The sequence below is a fragment of the Homo sapiens genome, chromosome 10 (genome assembly GCF_000001405.40).
Source record: "Homo sapiens chromosome 10, GRCh38.p14 Primary Assembly".
Classification (NCBI taxonomy): Eukaryota; Metazoa; Chordata; class Mammalia; order Primates; family Hominidae; genus Homo; species Homo sapiens.
Genome location: NC_000010.11, coordinates 214,767 through 235,840, shown reverse-complemented (window position 1 = coordinate 235,840; position 21,074 = coordinate 214,767). Strand labels below are relative to the sequence as shown.

Below are 21,074 nucleotides of genomic sequence, written 5' to 3'. Positions count from 1 at the left end.
GAAACACATTTTATTAGTGAGAAACTAAACTGAATTTCATTTACCTCATGTCTGCACTGCACCTTCCTGACCCCACTTCTCACCTAGGTTCTCTGGCAACGCAGTCAGTGCCCTCTCCTTATGCCGCTTTGTGGCCTGTGCCCACAGCTGCTCCGTTTACGCCAATTACAGAGCAGTTCTTCTCAACCCTGGCCTCGCATCAGAGATATGGACTAAACTTTTATACAACGTGGCTGGGCTTCACTCGCTGAGCATCTGGGTTGTGACTTCTGGTGGCAGGGCCTGTGATTCGTATTTGCTTGTTCATTTGTTTATTCCTCAGGTGACTGACGCATGGCCAAGACAGAGTGTCCATGGCATAGATATGGAATATAAAGTGCAATGAAATTTCCTGAGCCCTGGGTTTATAATCTTTTTTTCTGGTGGGGGCGGGGGGAGACAAATTGATATAACTTGAGAATTCTCTGTTTGAAAACTAACAGAAGAACTTAACTGAATTTAAAATGAGTGACACAGCCACATGAAGGAGGATATGAAGAACTCACTCAAGCAATTTATTAGCACAGTATTTGGCCACAGGCACTGTTGAGAGATAAAACTTTAAACAAACATTGAACTCTAGTTATTAAATTTGTTTAGTCAGCAGCATTGGTTAGCCACTCTTTAAAAAACTTTGTAAAAATTTTAATTGACAAAATGAAATTATATATACTTAATGGTGTACAATGTGATGTTTTGAAATACGTGCAATGGCGAAATAGAGCTAACTGGTTTTTGTAGTGAGAACACTTAAAACCACTCTCCTTTTTAACAAGATCCCCAGTGCTTTTCACACACACACACACACACACACACACATTTGCGAAATACTAGCGGGCACCTCTTGTACACTAGACCACAGTAAAAAATGATCCTCCATTTTTGCATTCTGCATGTCTCACAGGACTGCAGAAGGCGCTCTCCCTGGATCTGAAGCACAATCAATCAGCTACTTACTAGTATGGACATGCTTCGGTGCACTGCTTTCTGTACTAAGTAAGCAGTTTGATGAACTGTCAGATACAGGGAAGAGAAAACGTAAGAAGGCTGGAGATTGCTACGTTGTTCTTGGCGCTTATAAAATGTACATTCTTCTTAAAAGGAGAATAAAAACACATGCTTCTAGCTACATGGCCTTCTCTCATGCCAACTCAAACTCTGGGTGCACTATTAAAACTGATTTCAAATATCAATGTCATTAAAATATGAATTTATCTAAACTCAGACATAATAGCAATCTACACCAGGTTAGAAGTCTTGTAATACTATCAGTGGGGTTATAGTTCCTTTAATAGGAAACATATTATTCAAAGGAAAGATACAACCAACACTGTTATGTAGCGCTGAAATATAATTTTAATATTCACTAAATATCATGCACAGCCTTCCATCATTTCAACAAGGCAGGAATCCCTTCCCCTCTGGATGTTAGCTCTAGGCTCTGTGGTCCCTTGAGTAGTGACAGTGGGAGAGGAGGCCTGAGCCCTGCTGACCAGCCTGGCTGCATCCAGCACAAGGCCTCTTGCTTCTGTCTCAAGGCGCCGTGCGCTGCATTATGTGCAGGAGTTGCTGTTGTTGTTGTTTCCTTTCTGCGCTTTCACGTCTCTTGTTTCTAACTCTTTAGAAAATAAAGCCATCCACTGTTTCTATATGGGCAAAGATTATGCACTGCTAGAATCAGAATTTTATATCAGAATTAATATCACTATTGCTAAAACATCTTAACTAGATTGTTCTTAGTTTGAAACGGTACTACGGAAGTTTAGGTAACACTTGTTCATGTAATTACCCAGTTTAAATAAAGGTCTATATTCAGGTTCTATCTTTTTAAATAGAGAATTCACATAAATTGTAGATACTACACGCTCTCATAAACTTGGTTCTATGTGTTTAAATATTTTCAAATGAACTGCTAATTTGGTGTCACCATGTGCAAGCAACATTTCCCTATTTTGGGGAAGTCAGAATGCATATAGTTCATGCTGAGTGCCTTAATTAATTTCACAAAACTAAATGGTATAATAGAGGATGAAAGTCTGATTTTGTCTGTTTAAATTTGCTGAGAACTAGTTTGCTAGAGCATCTGTCTCCTTCTGAGTGCAGTCAAAAGTGGTCATCTGGGCCTGGAAAAATGAGTGAGTAAAGCATGAAAGGAAACAAGGTCATCTGGGTAGGGCCCACCCCATCTTCTCAACTCTGATGAAACTTCCAGAATTCTTTGAAGATATTACCTTCATAACTACCCCAGGAATGTCTTCTACCTCATTTTAACAGAGCACCATTCAGATTCAGATATCCTACTTAAGTGTTTATTACGTTAGGACCACCTGGGAACCCTTTAAGAAACATCAACATCTACTTCTAAAAAGTTCTAGAACAGGCCAAACTTATCCCTCACGGAAAATAATCAGAGGAATGGCTGTCTGGGGAGAGGGCGTGGGAGTGGGGATCTACTGGCCCAGGGACAAGAGCGAGCTTCCCCGTAGCTTGATGGGACTTGGCTGCACCAGTGCACGCCCTTGTCTGTTCTTCAAACGGCACAGCTAAGACTTGTGCATGTCAGTGTATGTGTGAATTTTACCTCAAAGGAAAAAGCCCACCGATGTCTCAGGTGCCGCCCCCAGAAATTCTGATACAATCGGCTGCGGGATGGGGTCTAGGCATTCATAGTCCTAAAAGCCCCCAGGGGTTTCTGATAGGTGTGGTTAAGAGCACTGCACCAACTTCCTAAGAGACCTCGTCATGTAAACACGGACAAGCGCACGCTGGTGCAGCAGCCCTGATTCTAACCTTTGCTGGTGTTCTGACAAGATGTAAAGTGGTGTATCTTCAAATGCTCTTTTAAAGGGATCTTGAGGTTAACCTGAGTTTTTATTTTGAACCCTAACGTACCAGCTCTAGGATGCTCTCAATCGACTTTACTGCACAAAGAGGAATACTTCTCTCATTTATATGCTAACAGTGCTATGGGAGTTATGTTTTAAGTATTTGGGTTGGTTTTTTCTTCAGTTATTACAGTTAGAAACGTCAATGATTTGGGCTGTATAGAAGGACTGACCAAACGGAATTTCACAGTCAAAGGAGATTATTTTGTTGAAAGCTTCCATGTTCCTTTTATCTACTTGTTGCCCCACCCACCTTTTTGGTGATAAATGAGGGATCTATTCCGGACACCATGAAGCCCTTCTCAAGCACTGCTCTGTGATGGGCCTCACACTACCCAAGGGAAGGCCACAGAGGCCGACAGAAGCTGCTCCCAGATTCACAGGCTGAGGAGCTTTCTCGCTGAACTGACACAAACAAAAAAGAGGACTCTCGACAGAACCAAAATCCCTCCCAATGATTTGTAGGAACAAAACATTTGCTGTAAGATGCTTTCACATTTGAAAAACTTGAGGGTTTTCTTTCCAAGACTTTCCAGTTATAATTTAGAGACTTGGTATTTCACAAAAGAAATCAACAGGACATTGCACATTCTGTCCCAGGTCTGTTCAAGGAGATTTCTGGGGATTTCTAAGGTAACAAGCCGTGGAGCCACTTTCTGTGGCGTTCACGCTGAAGTGCTTCAGCTGGTACCTGTCAGCCAGACCAAAACATTTTCAATGACTTGAGAAAAAGCTACAACTAAGAAAGAGGTAGCTTCTGAAGTAAACTAAGCAGATAGCTCTTGACAACAAGGTCAGAAAAACATAAAAACAATGCTTTATAATATGTACAGATTATTTCTGATCCAATTCTTTCTCAGGCTTTGAAGAATTATTCCTATTCTCTATTTGCAGGCCTGAGGATTCTTCAACCAAGGCCTCCCTGTAACAGGGTTCAGGTCAGAATCCAGAGTTCGTATCACCTGGTGGCATACGGGAGTGATTGTGGTCAACTTTTACAAATCATCAAGAAAGAAACATTCTATGAGATGGCAAAGTTGTTGTATTTAAAAGTGACGGTAATCGCATGTCTGAAGCAGGGTTGTAGACGTTTGCGTAAGAACTAAAGCAGATGTTGGGGCTGCCTCCTTTAAGAAAAAAATAACAGAAAATTTGAACATCTTGAACAAGGGATTCTTAAGCCAGTTGTAAGTAACTGCCAGGCTACACTGAATCGGATGACTCTAGGTAGAAACAACAGACAAAGCATGGTGCCCTTCGGTGTTTCTGCCTGGAAGACACTATTGGCCACTCCTGATCTTGTCCAAGTTTATCCATAGCTGATTATTGATAATGATGCCCAAGGATCATTACTTAAAGGGGCATTCAGGACTGAATACCTTTATTAGTACAGAATTTTCAGTTCTTTATAGCGATATAGTTTTTCAGTCATAGAAACCTATTTTGGCAGAAAATGAACTTGTGGAGATCTTGGTCATTTTGGTTCACTGACTATCCAAAAGCAGGAATGAAGTGCAAAATTGGAAATCTAGACTTCTTTTTTCAGACATATTTATCTATGCAGCTAGAGTTCACCTCAGCCAAGTCCCCATGTCTGTGATTAAATGAGACAAGGGCTTCAAACTTTCTTGGGCGTTCCCAATACTCAGTATATTCTTTACACAACAAACTAGACCAAAAGTCAAGAAGCATTTTGTGTAAAGGGCCAGAGAGCAAATATTTTAGGCTTTGCGACCATGTGGTTGGTCTCTGTCTCGACTACTTAATTCTGCTGTTGTAATGACAAAGCAATCGTGAATAATGCATACATCACGAGTGTGGCTGTGTTCCGATAAAACTTTTGGATACTAAAATTTGAATTTTTTATAATTTTCATGTCACAAAGTATTATTTGTCATTTTTCTTCAACAATCTGAAAACGTAAAAGTCATTCTTAGCTCACGGGCAGTACACATACACAGGTTGACCCCTAGAGGGAGTAAGTTTTGTGAAAGCAGGGTCCATAATGTCAATTTCAGCGGTGCATAGCATCTGGCACACAGTAAACGTTCGATACGTATCAGTTGAATTGAACTGGTGCCACTCATTACTGGCTTCATTGCCTACTAGAGAAACTATTCCATGCAGCTAAACTCAAGAATATGAGGACCCATCTAAAATGTGAAGCAGTTATACCCAAGTCTGTGTGTCAGCATATTCTGACCAACATAAATAATTTTATTTCTGATGTGTGAACCATTTTATTGCCAGATGACACTGAAATATCAATTGCTGACTTCTAACAATCAAGAATAATGTCACCAATAGCTCACTGAAATATTAGTGAGCATAGCCACCTACAGCACTTACTGGAAATGTAGATTCCTGAGCCTTACCCCCCAGAGCCTGTCTGGGGTAGAACCCTGGAGGCTGTAGTTTTTTTTTTTTTTTTTTTTTTTTTTTTTGAGACTGAGTCTCACTCTGTCGCCCAGGCTGGAGTGCAGTGGTGCGATCTCAACTCACTACAACCTCCGCATCCAGGGTTCAAGCAATCTTTCTGCCTCAGCCTCCTGAGTAGCTGGGACTACAGGCACGCACCAGCATGCTGGGCTAATTTTTGTATTTTTAGTAGAGACAGAGTTTCACCATATTGGCCAGGATTGTCTTGAACTCCTGACCTCATGATCCGCCCGCCTCGGCCTCCCACAGTGCTGGGATTACAGGCGTGAGCTACCGCGCTCGGTAGGAGACTGTGTTTTAAATAAGCTCACCAGGTGATTCCTGTACAGGTGGCCTCTAGATCTTATTTGGAGAAATACTAATCTACACATAAATTACTTATATCGTTTTAGGGATTAAACAGCTCCTAAATCTCCTCTATAATTGTAATAGCAGAAAACAAAATAATCAAAATAAATTCTCTTAGATAAAATTCTCTTAAAATTTATTTTGATTCTTTTGTGTTCTGAGATTATAGAGGAGATCTAGGAGCTTTTTAAAAATTTATTTTGATTCTATGTTGTTACAGAAATCAAAACACTCTGTAATATCGTCTAGGCCCACTTGCAACAATGGAATATAAAGGAATTACACATAATTTATATGAAGTCCCAATAATTGAGAAGTTAAAAGTGAAGCTGGTCCAGCGGAAGTGGTGATGAGTTACCCTGTCCTGCCACTTCTCCCTTCAAACCACTAAGACTCAAGTAGCCCATCAGTGAAAATCATTTTCTAAAACTATTTTCTAAAAATACACTCCTGTTCGGTTTTTTCACTCCCAGTACTGACACACTGAAATGGCCTACCTATTAGACCTGAAGAACAGTACATCACACTAATTGCTAGTATTAATGGTAGAAAACTCGACCTACCCACTTCTGCCTATGGAACGAATCACATTAAACTACACAGGATTCCACAGAGCCACATCCTAACTCCCACAGATTATCTGCCAACTGGTAGATAAGATACTCTCAGGTAAAAAAACTGAGAGTAGTTTTTTTAACTTATAAGAATTCAAGTTTAAAAACCTCCTGTAAGCTATCACAAATATGCCTTATTACAGGTAAAAGTAGGAACTCAAGATAATGCAAACTACTAAGAACGTCTCAAGGTGGATTCTTAGAACATCCTGGCAAATGAGACTCCAGTCACAGGCCACTCCTTAGTCAGTAAGTTAGTCCTGCAGAATTACTAACGCACAAGAATTGTTCATCCACATTTACAAAATGCCACTGAATGCCACTGTGGCTGTATCTACATTTATTAATTTTTACAAGGCCAACTCTTTCTTCTCTAAAGGAAGATAACAAATTTTGACTAAGATCAAGAGTTCACATGATATGAGCAGCTTTGTAGCAGCCAGTCTACTACTGGGCTGACTTAGTAACTATGAAAGCATCTCTCAAATATAGTCTACAAAACAAACCGTGATAGAAAAAAACATGTAGTATTTCTAAATCCACTATGCCCACAGGTACACACATACACACACACACCTGCTAAAATAGTATTTATCTACAGAGAGAAGGGTGCTATGCATGTCAGAAATTTTATCCTTCAATATTAATGCACTTTTTCTGGTAACTTTAAGCCCCTCGGTGGCTTGCTATATGACTTAGGAATAGGAAAGGGAAGTGAGAAAAATTTTATGGAACACAGGTTTGGTATCTACTTGTTCCTTTCCCCTTCTACATAACACTAGTCTCTAAAGGAAGAACAAGACTGAACGGCAGAGGCAGAATGCGTTCTTCAGCGGAATAAATCTTTCCATTCTTTTCAGAAAATAACTTAAATGTGTCTGTCTTCAGGTCGAGGCATGAATATGACTTGTTCTTTGATTAACGGGGCTGACATCCAGCCAATGTAAGTACTACCTACCTTCCCACTCCCTCTCATCGCTTCTGCACTGCAGAGGTAGCACAAGGAAACTGCATGTACTTTGTAAGTATTTTCTGTTCATGAACTTTGGAAACACTGAGTGAGCTTTCCATTTAATCTACATTAAGTTGTAAGCATCCTGATATAGGAAACACCCCAACTATCACCTTCTCAATCCCTTAGAGTGAAAATAAAAGATAAACTTCGAATAAGATTCTAAACAAACCACCAAAACATAGATCACAAAGGCCAAATACACCAACATACAAAACATTTCACAGTCATATCCTTTCTGATCATAACCACTGTTAAATTCACCACAGGAAGGTAATACAGTAAATTATATGAGCTTTTTTTCTTCTTCTTTGGGCCTAGATAACAATACATAGGATTTTATAGTTTTATATTGTAGATCCAATTTTTAAAATCCTCTGGCTTTATCAGTGTTCCCATTATTTTTTCCTCTGATTAAGCTTGTGGTGAACTGCAAATTTACCTTATAAAAGTGCGTGGCTCAGACACAATCTTTCTAAAATTAACTTTCTCCTTTTGTTAGTATAAAATTATAAGTTGTCTTAAAAATTGTAAAAATATTTGATTAATGTTCATTAGTTGTTTTCAATACTATGTCTACTATTTAAGAAAATAATGGCTTCAATCTCTACTTATTTAAAAATCAAATCTCCATTCTAGATTTGTTAATATGTATCTTGAAAGTGTAAAAGTACTTACATTTGGGGTGAAAATATTAATAAATTTCCCACACTAAAATATGCCTGATCAGAAAGCAAGAGCAGTTATAGCTTCATAGATACATAAGGAATTTATGTTCAAAGTATTTTCATTCAGCATTTGATCCCATTTTTCATTCTAAACATTATATGGGCATTCTCTTTACTGTTGGAATTTAAAAAGACTGTACTGCCTACATACCCAAAAGCATGAAAACTGTATCCAGAAACAAATTTCTCTAATTTCAACAGAGAGACTTCATCATGATTTTTTTTTCTTTAACTATCTCAACAACAAAAAGTTACAGTACAAATGGCTCAAACATAACCTACCCAGACCTAAGTCAACACTGACATGCCAGTCTGTACCCAATTGATAAAGCTCCAGGTGGACTCCCAATGGTGAGTTTTTAAAAAGTACATGAGGCTTAACATTCCAAGTTAAAATTTACTTTTAAATGCTTTCTATAGACTCCTGAGTCCATTTTTAAAGTCTTAACTTTCCTGCAAAACATGTATCATTCTGAGTATTTTAAGAAGGGCAGGAGCAAATAAATTTTAGGAATAGTTCCTACTAACGTGGAAGAACCACCAAACAGCTCTCTTGCTTAAGAACATGAGTCAGAGAATCAAGTGCTGCAAATTCGGGAGAGCTTTTTGGATTAGATGTAGAACCAAAGTATTTTGAAATTAGTAATAAAATTCTTCCACATAGATTCTTCTTTATTTCCTCATCTGCATTTTCTTGTGTTTCTACATCTTGTTAAGTGGGCTGATTTTGATTCACCCTACAATTTGTACATTAACATAAAATTTAAAACTTGTGATCCTTAAACAGAGAAAAATGCCACCTGAAACATTTGTAGGGGACGAGTCTTTTCCAGTTTTTAAAGACATACTGGAATAATATGTCACCTCTGTATTACCTTGACTTATTTACTTTGTCTTTTGTGACTTAATTTGATCCTTTTATTTCAAAGTGGGATGTACACCAAAGTTTGTTAATGATATAAAGAATAGTAATATAAAATTTTAATATTATCAAGCAATTGTAAAAATCCAAGACAAAACTCTTTGGAGGGATTTCAGTGGAGCGGTATTCCATTTCAGCGGGCCAAGTATGGAAAAGAAAACGGGTAGCTCACTGTAATTTTCCCATTTACTCACTTTCTCTGTAACTCACTTACTGTAAAAGCACATCATACAAAATTTAAAGCCCTAAATTCTATTTCCTAATGATAATTTTAGTCTAAATATGAAAACTGCATTTATCTGAATTTAAATAGGGGCAATAACATGAATCTACAACTCCTCTAAGTTATGAAATCAAAATTCATTTATGTAAGAAACATGCACATATTAAAGAGGAGGAAATAGGGGCCTACTTTCAAACCATGTCTCCAAATTCTTAACCTAAAAAGTGCCAATTATTTTGGGGAAAAAAATCTACACTTTGTTTTGCTACAGAGTTTTTTAAAAAGCTATTCTGCTGACAGACTTTTTATGAGGCATTAGAGCAAAAGCAACACTATCAGATATTATAGCCACTAATCTGTGCAGGGCAGTGTCTGCTATAGAATCTGCTGTGTATACTAGGGAGAGGAAGGGTGGGGAGTCAAGTAGTTATATGCTTCTTTAAGAACTCTCCAAGTCGTAACTCTGGCGTAATGGGGAGACAAATGCCAGGCACTCTCAAGAGATCAGTATTTTATACCTAAAGATGCTTTCTTGGAGTGGTATAGGCATTTAGAACATGAATGTTCTAAAACTGCACTATCTAATATGGTAGCCACAAGCCCCATGTGGCAAACTGCAATCCAGTTCTTTGGTCTACAAGTCACATTCAAGGGCTCCACAGACACACAAGGTCAGTGGCTCACACTGCACAGCACAGAGACCCTTTCCACCACCAAAGAAGCTCTCGAACAGCCCTGCTCTACAAGGCAATGTGCCACCCCAGCAGGCTGGCTGCCCAGGGGCTTCTTATGACAGACTGCCTTGCCCATGAATTACAGTATCATGATTTTCACCAGCAGGCTTGCAAGCCAGCAAGCATGGAGCACATGCACACATACGCAGGTCCAAGCACACGTCTGTCTCTAACCATGCCTTCAAAGTATAAAATGACTTTGTAATTTGGGAACTATATATATGAAAATGAAGCAAAAATAAAATGAGACAGCCGGTATGGTGGCACATGCCTGTAATCCCAGCACTTTGGGAGGCCAAGGCAGGAGGGTCACTCGAACTCTGGAATTCAAGATCAGCCAGGGCAATACAGCGAGACCCTGTCTCCAGAAAAAAATTTAAAAATGAGCCACACATACTGGTGTGTGCGTATAGTCCTAGCTACTCAGAAGCTGAGGCAGGAGGAGGCTGGCCCAGGAGGTTGAGGCTGCAGTGAGCCATGATTGTGCCACTGCACTCCAACCTGGGTGACAGAACAAGATCCTGCCTAAAAACACACATAAAAAACAAAAAAACAACGACAACAAAAAATTCATCTTATCAAATAGGCAACAAAAAATTGACAAATAGTTTCATGTGCTGTTGATGTACATGGGTATAATACTCTGAAGAACAAGTCAGTGATTTTTATCAAAAATTTAAACGTGTACACTATCCTTTAAACCTAAAAATCCCATGTTAATAAACTTATCCTACCAAAGGTGTTCAGACAGAATTACATAAATGTATATAATTTTCTATCTTTAAAAAATGCAATGGACTATATTGTGTTTTAAAGGTATTTCTTTTTTGTAAACAAAATCTTAAAATCTTAAAAGCAATTTTCACAAAAGAGTATGATTTTCTTATTTTTTTCCTGGAAAATTCATGGCTATTTCAGGAAAATAAAATTCAAATAAAACAAAATATAAACTTCAGTTTCATGCAGAAATAAATAATAATGAGAAGACTCCTCCTCAGAAGTTGGAAATGGGGCATGATTTCCAGGATAGCATTTGCATATGTCACCTTTGACAGGTGTTTCCATACCGAACAGTGGAAATGATGAACACCTGCTACATGAGGAACTGGTCACATAAGTTACAGCATGCCCTCTCAAATCATAACAGGTGCCAAAAAAAGGTCATTCTGGGGTACTGTCGAGTACATACACACTAGCCACATCCAGTAATTAATGTAAAGTCATGTGGATACAGATACAAACAAAATGACACACACACCAACACAGGAAGAAGTCTGTGAGAATATTACCTACTATGGAATACGGTTTCTGGGAATTTTTTCTTATCCTAAATTATTTGAATTTTTTATAGCAAATTTTAAAATCTCTTTTCTAAAATTTAATGAGAGAGATCTCAGTAAAAGTGTGAAACTGGACAGTATTTAAATCTTTCTCAAAGTAAAATCTAATCTGATATTAATAAGCTACTTTTCAATAATAATCTACTGTGTCCATAAAGCAAAAGTTTATTTTTTAGAAAGGCAGACATTCCAAAGAACTATTCTTAGGGTTATAGATTCTAGAGATTTATTATGAAAAGTCACAAAATTATTTTTGAGAAAAATGCCTATTACTGTCCTGTTAAAATATTTCAGAAATAGATACGTAAGATAAAGCTGCTTGAGCTGAATTAAATCTGGTAACACAGGTGACAGCTAGGAGACAGAACACCTGTTCTCAGTGACTTTTTCAACACTGTAAGGGAGAGAAAGGAATGTAAGAGTGAATAGTATTCCAATCACTGCAAACTCTTAGAAAAGGGCTTCTTTTCATTGTCAGTTTTAGGTAGTAATGGTTAGCTTCCATTTATTATTTTTACCATATGGAATTTGGCTATGGCACCTTATCTTCATCATTCTTTATCAACATATCTAATTAATCCATATTTTTCCAAACATTGAAAAAAAAACAGAGTAGAAAGTTATTCTGATTCGGAACCACAGTTCTTGAGTTTCTGTCTATAGACTCTAGGTTCTCTTAGTCCATGATTACTTAAATCTGGTCACTCTCCTAAAAAACGGCTTTACTCAAAGTTTTGACACTATATTTAAAATTTAAAACAAATCAACCAATAACTTCACCTTAAAGATATGAAAAACTCCGTTACAATTTCAAGATTATTATTACCCCTTCTCAAAGGAAAAGAATTGTTAGTACTTATCTTTTTCTTGAATACCATAAAACAATAGAATGGATCTAAAATGAATAACTATTTCTTTGGAAAATTTAAAGCTCAAGATAAAACTCTCCATCCTCACCCTAGAAAACAGGGTTTTTGAGCCTTAGCAGGGAGTAGCTCACATACCATAAAATGAATGAAAAATTCAAGATTTTTATTGACAGCATCATTTCAGTAAGCACAATTATATAGCAGTATAAAAATGTCTAGATTGACAAAGGCAAAAAGAAAGGAAAAGAGAAGAACAGAACAGAATAGGGTAATCATGTTTCTGTGTGAGCCAATACAGTGTAAAAATTTTTTAAATTTCATCCATTCAGTAAAGAGTAGAGGAAACACAGACTGGGCACGATGGCTCACAACAGTAATCTCAGCACTTTGGGAGGCCCAGGTGGGCAGATCACTTGAGGTCAGGAGTTCAAGACCAACCAGCCTGGCCACACCAACATGACAAAACCCCGTCTCTACTAAAAATACAAAAATTAGCCAGGTGTGGTGGCACGCACCTGTAATCCCAGCTACTCGGGAGGCTGAGGCAGAAGAATCACTTGAACCCAGGAAGTGGAGGTTGCAGTGAGCCGAGATCATGCCACTGCCCTCCAGCCTGGATGACAGAGAGAGACTCAGTCTCAGAAAAAAAAAAAAAGAGTAAAGGAAACACAAAATGGAATCAGACAACTTGATAGTGAATTCTGACGGAAGAAGTATTAAACATTTTCTTCAAAGGTATAATAATTGTTCAATTCCCATTCTTACCATAAGAAATACAAAATATCTACAAAGAAGCTTAACCTGTCCTCAGAAGTCCCAGTATTTTCGTTTAAGTTATTTACTATGAAAATAAGAATTAAATATTAAATACAAAAGAGCAATGGCTGTAGAGACACAGACATACCCAGAGCTGTATTTCCTAATTCCTGCATCCATATTAGGATCCCCATGTGACTACTAACATTGCCTCTTTTTTTTTTTGATCTCATTAATTTTCTACTTCCCCTAGGGTAAACTTCTATCAGAAAATGGAAGATGTATATTTGCTTTTAAAATGTACAATCGAAATCCACAAGAGAATAAAATATGAATATTAATACAGCTCCTTTGCTCCAAATTGTGAAACTTAGAGCACCACTTACACTAATTTCTTACAGACATTCTTGTAGACCTCAAAGAGGAGGTCTACATATTGAAAACTGATACTGATTTACTCAGACTTAGGGAACTGACATGACTTATTTGGCACCTAGGCATTTGAGTGGCAAGTCATCATTAAACATTTTTTAAAATGCTATCCCAACTGCCTGTTGTATGCCTAATGAGTAAGTATAACGTATATGGCAAGGCTAAGTACACTTAGGCAATACAAAGCCAGTTAGAAGACTAGAACATATACTGTAGTTTGCTTATGATGCTAACAGGAAATTTTCGACTAATGCCAGAGAGGGAAAAAGTTATGAAAAAATGTTTTTTGAAAAAGCAAAAAAATACTTAAATTACGCAAGTTATTATAAAGCATATTAACAAACTGGAAATCACGAGTAATCTCAACAATGTGCATGGTTCCAAATAAGTATTTTAATAGTTAAGTATAAAATAATAGAGGTTGCAATCAAATAATTCCTTATTACCATCGATGCCATATGTAATAAGTCACCACATATCACTCGTATACACACACATACCACATTCTGCAACTAACAATCACAGTATGTATATTCCTCAGTGGGATCAATGAATAAAAGTAATTGTGGAAAGTACCTTTTTTACCTATGGGGCAATTTCATTTTACTTTAAAAAAATAATTAGAATTCTTTATACACAATGTCTCATCCCTCCACCCTCCAAATAAAATATAAGCAAAAAAAAACAAACTCATGATATGACAAAAATAAAGGCAACATTACATGGATATAAAATGGGAAATAGATACAGAATGCCCCCAACAATGTGCCTTTTGCTAACTGTTTCCTGAATACCATAAATTGTACAGTTTATTACAAAGTAGCTATTGAACAGATGTTAGTAGGTTTCGTATTTCTGATGTCCAAAGGCCATCCATTAAATTAGTCACATAAGCCAGAGGCAGGTAAGGGAAGGGAAGAGGATATATTTTTACGTGATTAAAACTTTCTAAAATCCACACCCTGAAATACGGTGTATGTGTTCTGTGATGTCCATTTATGAGTATCATCATTTCATTAGATAACCCCCACCCTCCAGTCCTTTATCCGTTCACCTGGCAAGACCACCTGGGATATCTTTTTGAAGCTATTATGAATTAATTCCAACCCTCTAACCAGCACAGGAAAGCTCATAGGTACTCACCCTGCAAACTGGGCACTGCCAGGGACTACTGCTGTCTCTAAGCCTGAACTCATCAGACAAACACTTGGAATGATACACACGAAAACACAGGTCACATATCAACACCTCTCCAGGCAAATGGCATTCAAAACAATACCAGTCATGATTTTCTGTTTCCCAGTCCTACAAAAAAGTACAAAATAGTTTTGTATGACATTTTGTCAATATCTGCAATGACTAAGAACAAAATTGAAACTAATGTCCATCAGAAGTTAGGCATCATAAACAATTTAAAGACATTTACTGTGTTAAAACAAGAGGGAAAATACCTAGAAAGTTGCTGCTTTAAATTTTAAAATCTTTCCTAAAACAGTGGTAATATTCAGAAATATCTTAAGATAATGTGATAGCAAAACCAGTCCAAAATGAAGTATGTCCAAAGCCAACTCCAGTTCTAATGTTATCTTTCATTTTGAAATACAATCTAAGGAATAATTTCTTTAGTAAACTGAGAACCCCAAACCAACCTATAGCTTCGCATTTCAAATAAACAAACCTTTGTTTTGTTCTGCTTTACATATATATATATAACAGTCCTTGACACACTGTGGGAACAGAGAGAATAGTAATAACTGGTGATGCTCACTATTCTTATCTTCTCATCTGTGGCACTGGATGTTTTATTGAAAATAACCATTAATCAGAATGTCCATGTTCTGATAGGATGTCAGATTTTCAGAGCTGTTGAATTTGGAAAAATAAATTGAAACTGTGAAACTAAAGGTTTAATCACATTATCCAAAGGAGATTACCACAGAAAACAAAAAAGGAAGTAGCCTTATTTCCTGACTGGGGCTATTCCTAGAAATAAAAGAACACAACTGTAGGTACACAGGCATTCTTCAACATGTTCTTATTTTTGACACCTTTTTTTTATACAGCTAATACCCTTTAAGTATACAAAGCAAGTGTTAGAAGTTCTCTTAATTTAGAATTCATTATTTATAAATATTACTCTTAGCTTTTCTTAAAATATATTTATGCTAAGAGTGATGAGTTAATTCTCAACTTTATTTGTAGATGTAGTAACCAAATGAACAAGGGTAAAGTCCACAGTTAGTATAAACAGGGCCACTTCCAGTAGGGACCCTGACATTCCAAATTTGGGTTCCACCATCAATTTTATTTCTATAAATTGTTATCTATACGGTTTCCAAGGTGGAACAGCTTTACTGTTTTCTCTGATGTCAGTACTCCCCCAATAAATGGGCTTTCATGTAGCACTCACTCCATAAGCAGCAACTTCTTTGGAAACTAGGTTCAAACATGTTACTGCTTGACCATATCTGACTGCCAGATATGAAGGACTACCCAGTCCTTCAAAAGAGAAGAGATACATGAATGTTCAAAAATTCATGTCTTCCAAACCACATCCAGAGTCATGGCTAGAGTGTGGCAGTAAATCCTGCAAAAATGTAAACTTTCCGGTTTGCTTTTTATTAAGAAATTGGCAGTCTGTGTTGACCAAAGTAATAAAAAGACAATGACCATTTTTAGTTATTTGCTACAGATGTATACACTCTGCAAACTTCCTTTGGTATGGTAATTTCAGTTGGGCTGGAATCTTAAAATACTGATTTTTACATAAAACCCTGATTGCACATGGCACAAAATGATGTACTGCACAAAGTTGGGCACACTGGCATCACACAGACAACAATATATGTGTGTGGCGCTTGGCTGTATTAAAACAGTCATCCTTGGTGTATCCATTTGAGATGGGCTCATATGTAAGCTTCATTTTAGCTATTTCAATTTATCAATTATTATATTAAAAATCATTGACAAATTAGGTTTTGGTGGAAATAAGATATCTTATTCTACTTTTAATTAACAGTACTCTTTCCAAAGTTAAGACAAAATATTTCAGGATATTTTCTTCATACTCATAGCTGTTTTAAAAACATCTTAAGGGATTCTGGTGGCTTATATTTGACTCAATATTAAAAAGAAATTGCCATCATTCATCACTTGAATTTTTTACATTAATTCATCTTCATGTGCTGGGCAAAATATTATAGTAGTTACTAGGTTAATTAACAAAAGGAAGCAAGAGTATAATTCCTGTGCATACCTCTGGCCTCTCCACATTACCTTTACCTCTTTGCATCCCTACCCTTTCCCCATCCACCCATTAAATGAAGATAAAAATGGATCTTTGATAGGGTGTTTAATTCTTGACCTAGTTTTTCATAACCAATTACAGAAATGAAAGTATAACTCAAATGAAGTAAAAGAGAAACATCTGGACACATTTATATGATGGCATATAACCAACTCTATTCTCAGACAGAAAGTATGGGCTGGGGAAGCAGTGCTGTTGATTGTTTTAATCACGGCAATAGCTGTTCAGAATATGCAAAACATGCAAAAGTCAAGTTCAAAGTTACTAGACTCTGAATCCAGGAAACATTTTCCTGAGGGATGAATCATACAGGCATGTTGATTATAGGACAGGTTGCCTACAATTTGTCTTTTGGTAAATAGAGATCCTTTACATAATGCTTTTGACTAGCACTCAAACATGTATGTCAAAGAACCTAAGTTTGCATTTTCACTGGTTCCCCCAGATGTCATTAGCTACTCTAGAGATAGCCTGAGTAACAGCGTATGTGAAATGCCAATTCAAAACATGAAAGCTTTTAAATAGCAAACCTACTAGCATGAAATTCAAAATTAGAAGCCATGTAAAGATAGTATGGTTTTAACAAACAAATCTAGCAAGAGTTAACTAAGCTAGCCTAAGGTAAAAGAGAAACTACAATACAAAAAATAAAGCAGAATTATAGTAAAATAACATAGTGCAAAATTAGTTCACCTTGTTTGGGGCTGCTGTCCTGGAGAAAGGCTGCATACTATAGGCCTTTCAAAATAAAAACAAAATAATCTTGGTCTCGCTACTTAACTTTGCTAAATGTCAGGCAATACACAGGGCTAAAGGGATTTCACACAGGGCCAAACTGTTTATTATTTCCTATATGACTTATACTATTTTACAGATGATATTAACTGGTAATCTATCAATGTGCTAATTAATAACGAAAAGACAGAAGCATGCAAACATAAGAGTCATTACTAGTTGTAGAGGAAACGTTTCAACTAACAAACACAAAAGCTACAAATGGACATAGAGAAAATCTCCCGCCAATGTACCGTGAAAACTATAATGATATTAGAAAAATATTTTGCTAATAAATAAATTCAGTGCCATTATAAACTTGCGTAAGACATGAATGTATGTCTTATTAATTTAAAACTGGTTCACACTGGATTCTCTAAAAATCGGAAATGATGAATATGAGTGTGGTCAACTCAATACCTCACCATAACATGAAATTTATACAGGCTGTCCTCAGAATCTAGTAGAAAAATCCACCTCTAGCAGCAGCCTATTGATCTAAGTCTCTGTCATTCACATAGCATTTGGTTAAGACTCTGGAGCTCGATTGATTCAAATCCTGGCCCTGGCATTCGCAGCTGTATAATCTCAGGCAGAATGCTTAGCTTCTCTATGTGTCATTTTCTACCTATATAATGAACAAAATGATAGTACGCAGTCTACACGGTTTTTCTATGAATCACATGAGTCAATACGCAGACAGTCCTTACGGGAGTGCCTGGCACAATGTGAGCACCCAGGAAGTGTTGTTATTATTATCTACTCAGTGCACAGAACAGGAACTGACCAAGTCACAAAATGATAGAACATGCTTATAATTATATATGTGTGCACATTTCTTTGCTAGGCATTTTAAAATTCATTATCACATCTGTATTTCACAACAATTTTTTTTTTTTTTTTTGGAGACAGAATCTCGCCAGGCTGGAGTGCAACGGCGAAATCTCGGCTCACTGCAACCTCCGCCTCCCAGGTTCCAGCAATTCTTGCGCCTCAGCTTCCCAAGTAGCTGGAATTACAGGCGTGCGCCACCATACCCAGCTAATTTTTTTGTGTTTTTAGTAGAGACGGGATTTCGCCATGTTACCCAGGCCGATCTCAAACTCCTAAGCTTGGGCAATCTGCCCAAAGTGCTAGGATTACAGGTGTGAGCTACTGCACCCAGCCCACAATGCTTCTATATGCTAGATAGAGCAAGAAATATTAACTCTGACTTAGAGACCAAACCGAAGCACAGAAAGAGAGTTGCTCAGTCAAGTCAAAAGGGAGATATGTGGAAGAACTGTTTGAATAGTGTTCTAAAGTATAATCCACCCTCATCAATAATCCAAAAGCAATTTTTAATTTACTCTTTCTACTTAATGAGTAGATAAATATTACACAACCAAGTATGTGTGTTTGAGATAGCATTTTAATGTAGATGCAATGTAAAAATAATTGTCTACAATTCTAGGTTTAGCTTAATTAACAAATTCTGTTTATCATTAGGAGATAATAATCTGATGGTTACATATTTCCAGTAATTTTAAATATTACTTATATTTAAAATAAAAATATTACAACATTGCTCAGTGCAACAGAATTCAGACAGAAGGAAAAAGAAAAAACAAACATATACACACACAATCATAATAAACTTAAAAGAGTATATAACAAGACAGCATGACCCAAAAAATCCTCTTGAATAAGAAGGAAAGTATTTTACCAAAGCAAGAATAATTTCTAAGTATATTATAGTTTAAATGCACACAGAACCACAGTATAAATGATTTCTAATAATCACCGATAATTCACTTGGCAAATGATTGTGTTTTTGTAACTAAGATAGGGCATGGACATTTGGAAGAAATATGTGGTTCTGCGGTAAGTAACGTAAATAGAGTAAGTTGTATCTCACACCCCATAAACATATACACCTATCCATAAAAATTAAAAATTAACAAAAGGTATATTTCATATTAAATAAATCAACAGTATCCAAGGGGCATCAAATTTTGCACTAAGGGCACTTAAAACATACGATTGATTAACTTATGACAACTATTATAACTATAATTTTATCAAGAAAAAGACAAAGACCTAAAACTTTAAAAAGAAATTCTCACTGTAATATGCCATATATATATAAAAGGGTTGTGGGGGTTGGGGAGTCAGGCTCAGTTTGAATTTAGCCTCACTTAATATTTTCCTCAAGAACAACGCAAGGGCGCCCCTGCTTGCCATGGCTGCCTACGGTGGTAGTTCTGAAGAATAAAGCCATCAATTCCATTCCTATCTCCTATCTAAAAGATGTGAGCTAAGCTAAATTTCAAGAGAAATATAACCCAAAACTTTTTTTAGACTGGGCATTTTGAGGTGGGAGGAACAGATGATGACAGAAAAGAAGGGTCTATCTTGCCCCTCTGTAAATTAAGATTTAAGCTTGTTTATCCCCAATAGGTTAATCTCTTTAAGAAGCCAGAAAATATATATTTTCATTAATTATGCTGTTTTAATATGTGTCAAAAGCCTTAAATGAGAAAAAGCAAAAGACACAGAATTCTACCTTTTCATTTAAAAAGGTGTAGGCATGGTGGCTCATGCCTGCAATTCCAGCACTTTGGGTCACTGAGGCAGGAGGATCACTTGAAGCCAGGAGTTCAAGACCATCCTAGGCAACATAGCAAGACCCTGTCTCTACAAAAAATGAGAAAATTAGCTGGGTGTGGTAGTGCATGCCTGTAGTCCCAGCTACTTCGGAGGGTGAGGCAGGAGGATTGCTTGAGGCCAGGAGGTCAAGGCTGTAGTGAACCATGATTGCGCCACTGTACTCCAGGCTGGGTGACAAAGGGAGACCCTGTCTCAAAAAAAAAAAAAACAAAAAACAAAGATGCCCCCTAGGCCTATTTAAAAGTAGTATAATATCATGCGTGCAGTTGCTCTTGAGTCACAAGCAGCAAAACATACCGGTAGAAGGACTTTAACCAAAAGTATCAACGTGGTTCCTAAACTCATACATTATTTTTGTCCTGGCATTAACTGTGACAAGGAAATGAGGCTGTGAGACCAAACCTGGTAGGTAAGTAAAGGGAGAAGTAGTTTTACAGCAAACATCACTTTTTAATATTTTAAACTCATATATTATTTTTGTCCTGGCATTAACTATGACAAGGAAATGAGGCTGTGAGACCAAACCTGGTAGGTAAGTAAAGGGAGAAGTAGTTTTACAGCAAAGATCACTTTTTAATATTTTAAGTCATCCTCAACACTCTTGACTAAATTATTAAATGTGAGATCAAAAGTATCTGTCAAATAATATTCTAGCTTTGTGCCAAGGGCTGTCAATAAAGTTGGAAGTCACCAAATTAACACTAACCGCCTCAATTGCAAACGACATTATTTGATATGCTTTATCTGCAAATGATCCATCATTTAAGGTGACCTGCCTTAGTGTATTACATTAAAGCCTTTGTTAAGACCTTCTCATCTTTAGTGAGTATCTTATTGCTTAAGAGTATAACTCGTAAGATATTAACTTATATTTATCACAGAGAGCTGCTAAATACCAAATGTAACTTAGCCCAGCAAATGGTAAAATTCTGTCCAAGAAATACACTTCTCACATTTTAAGAATAAAGGTGGTGAAATACTGTGAAGAAATAAGGGTTTAGTG

The 21,074-nt window shown here is 36.9% G+C and overlaps 1 protein-coding gene across 38 annotated transcripts in view; it reads right to left on the bottom strand.

The window, feature by feature from the left end:
- ZMYND11 (zinc finger MYND-type containing 11) overlaps positions 1 to 21,074 on the bottom strand; it is a 124,550-nt gene that overhangs the window by 18,797 nt on the left and 84,679 nt on the right. For 19 of the 38 annotated variants that reach the window (NR_163254.2, NM_006624.7, NM_001370119.2 and 16 more), the window contains one exon: positions 14,485 to 14,646. The exons of the other annotated variants lie outside the window; for them this stretch is intronic. Coding sequence is in view for 18 of the 19 variants with exons in the window: in NM_006624.7 (NP_006615.2) it covers positions 14,485 to 14,646 (162 nt within the window). In the remaining variant the exon portion in view is untranslated. The remainder of the gene's footprint in view (positions 1 to 14,484; positions 14,647 to 21,074) is intronic. 38 annotated transcript variants of the gene reach the window in all.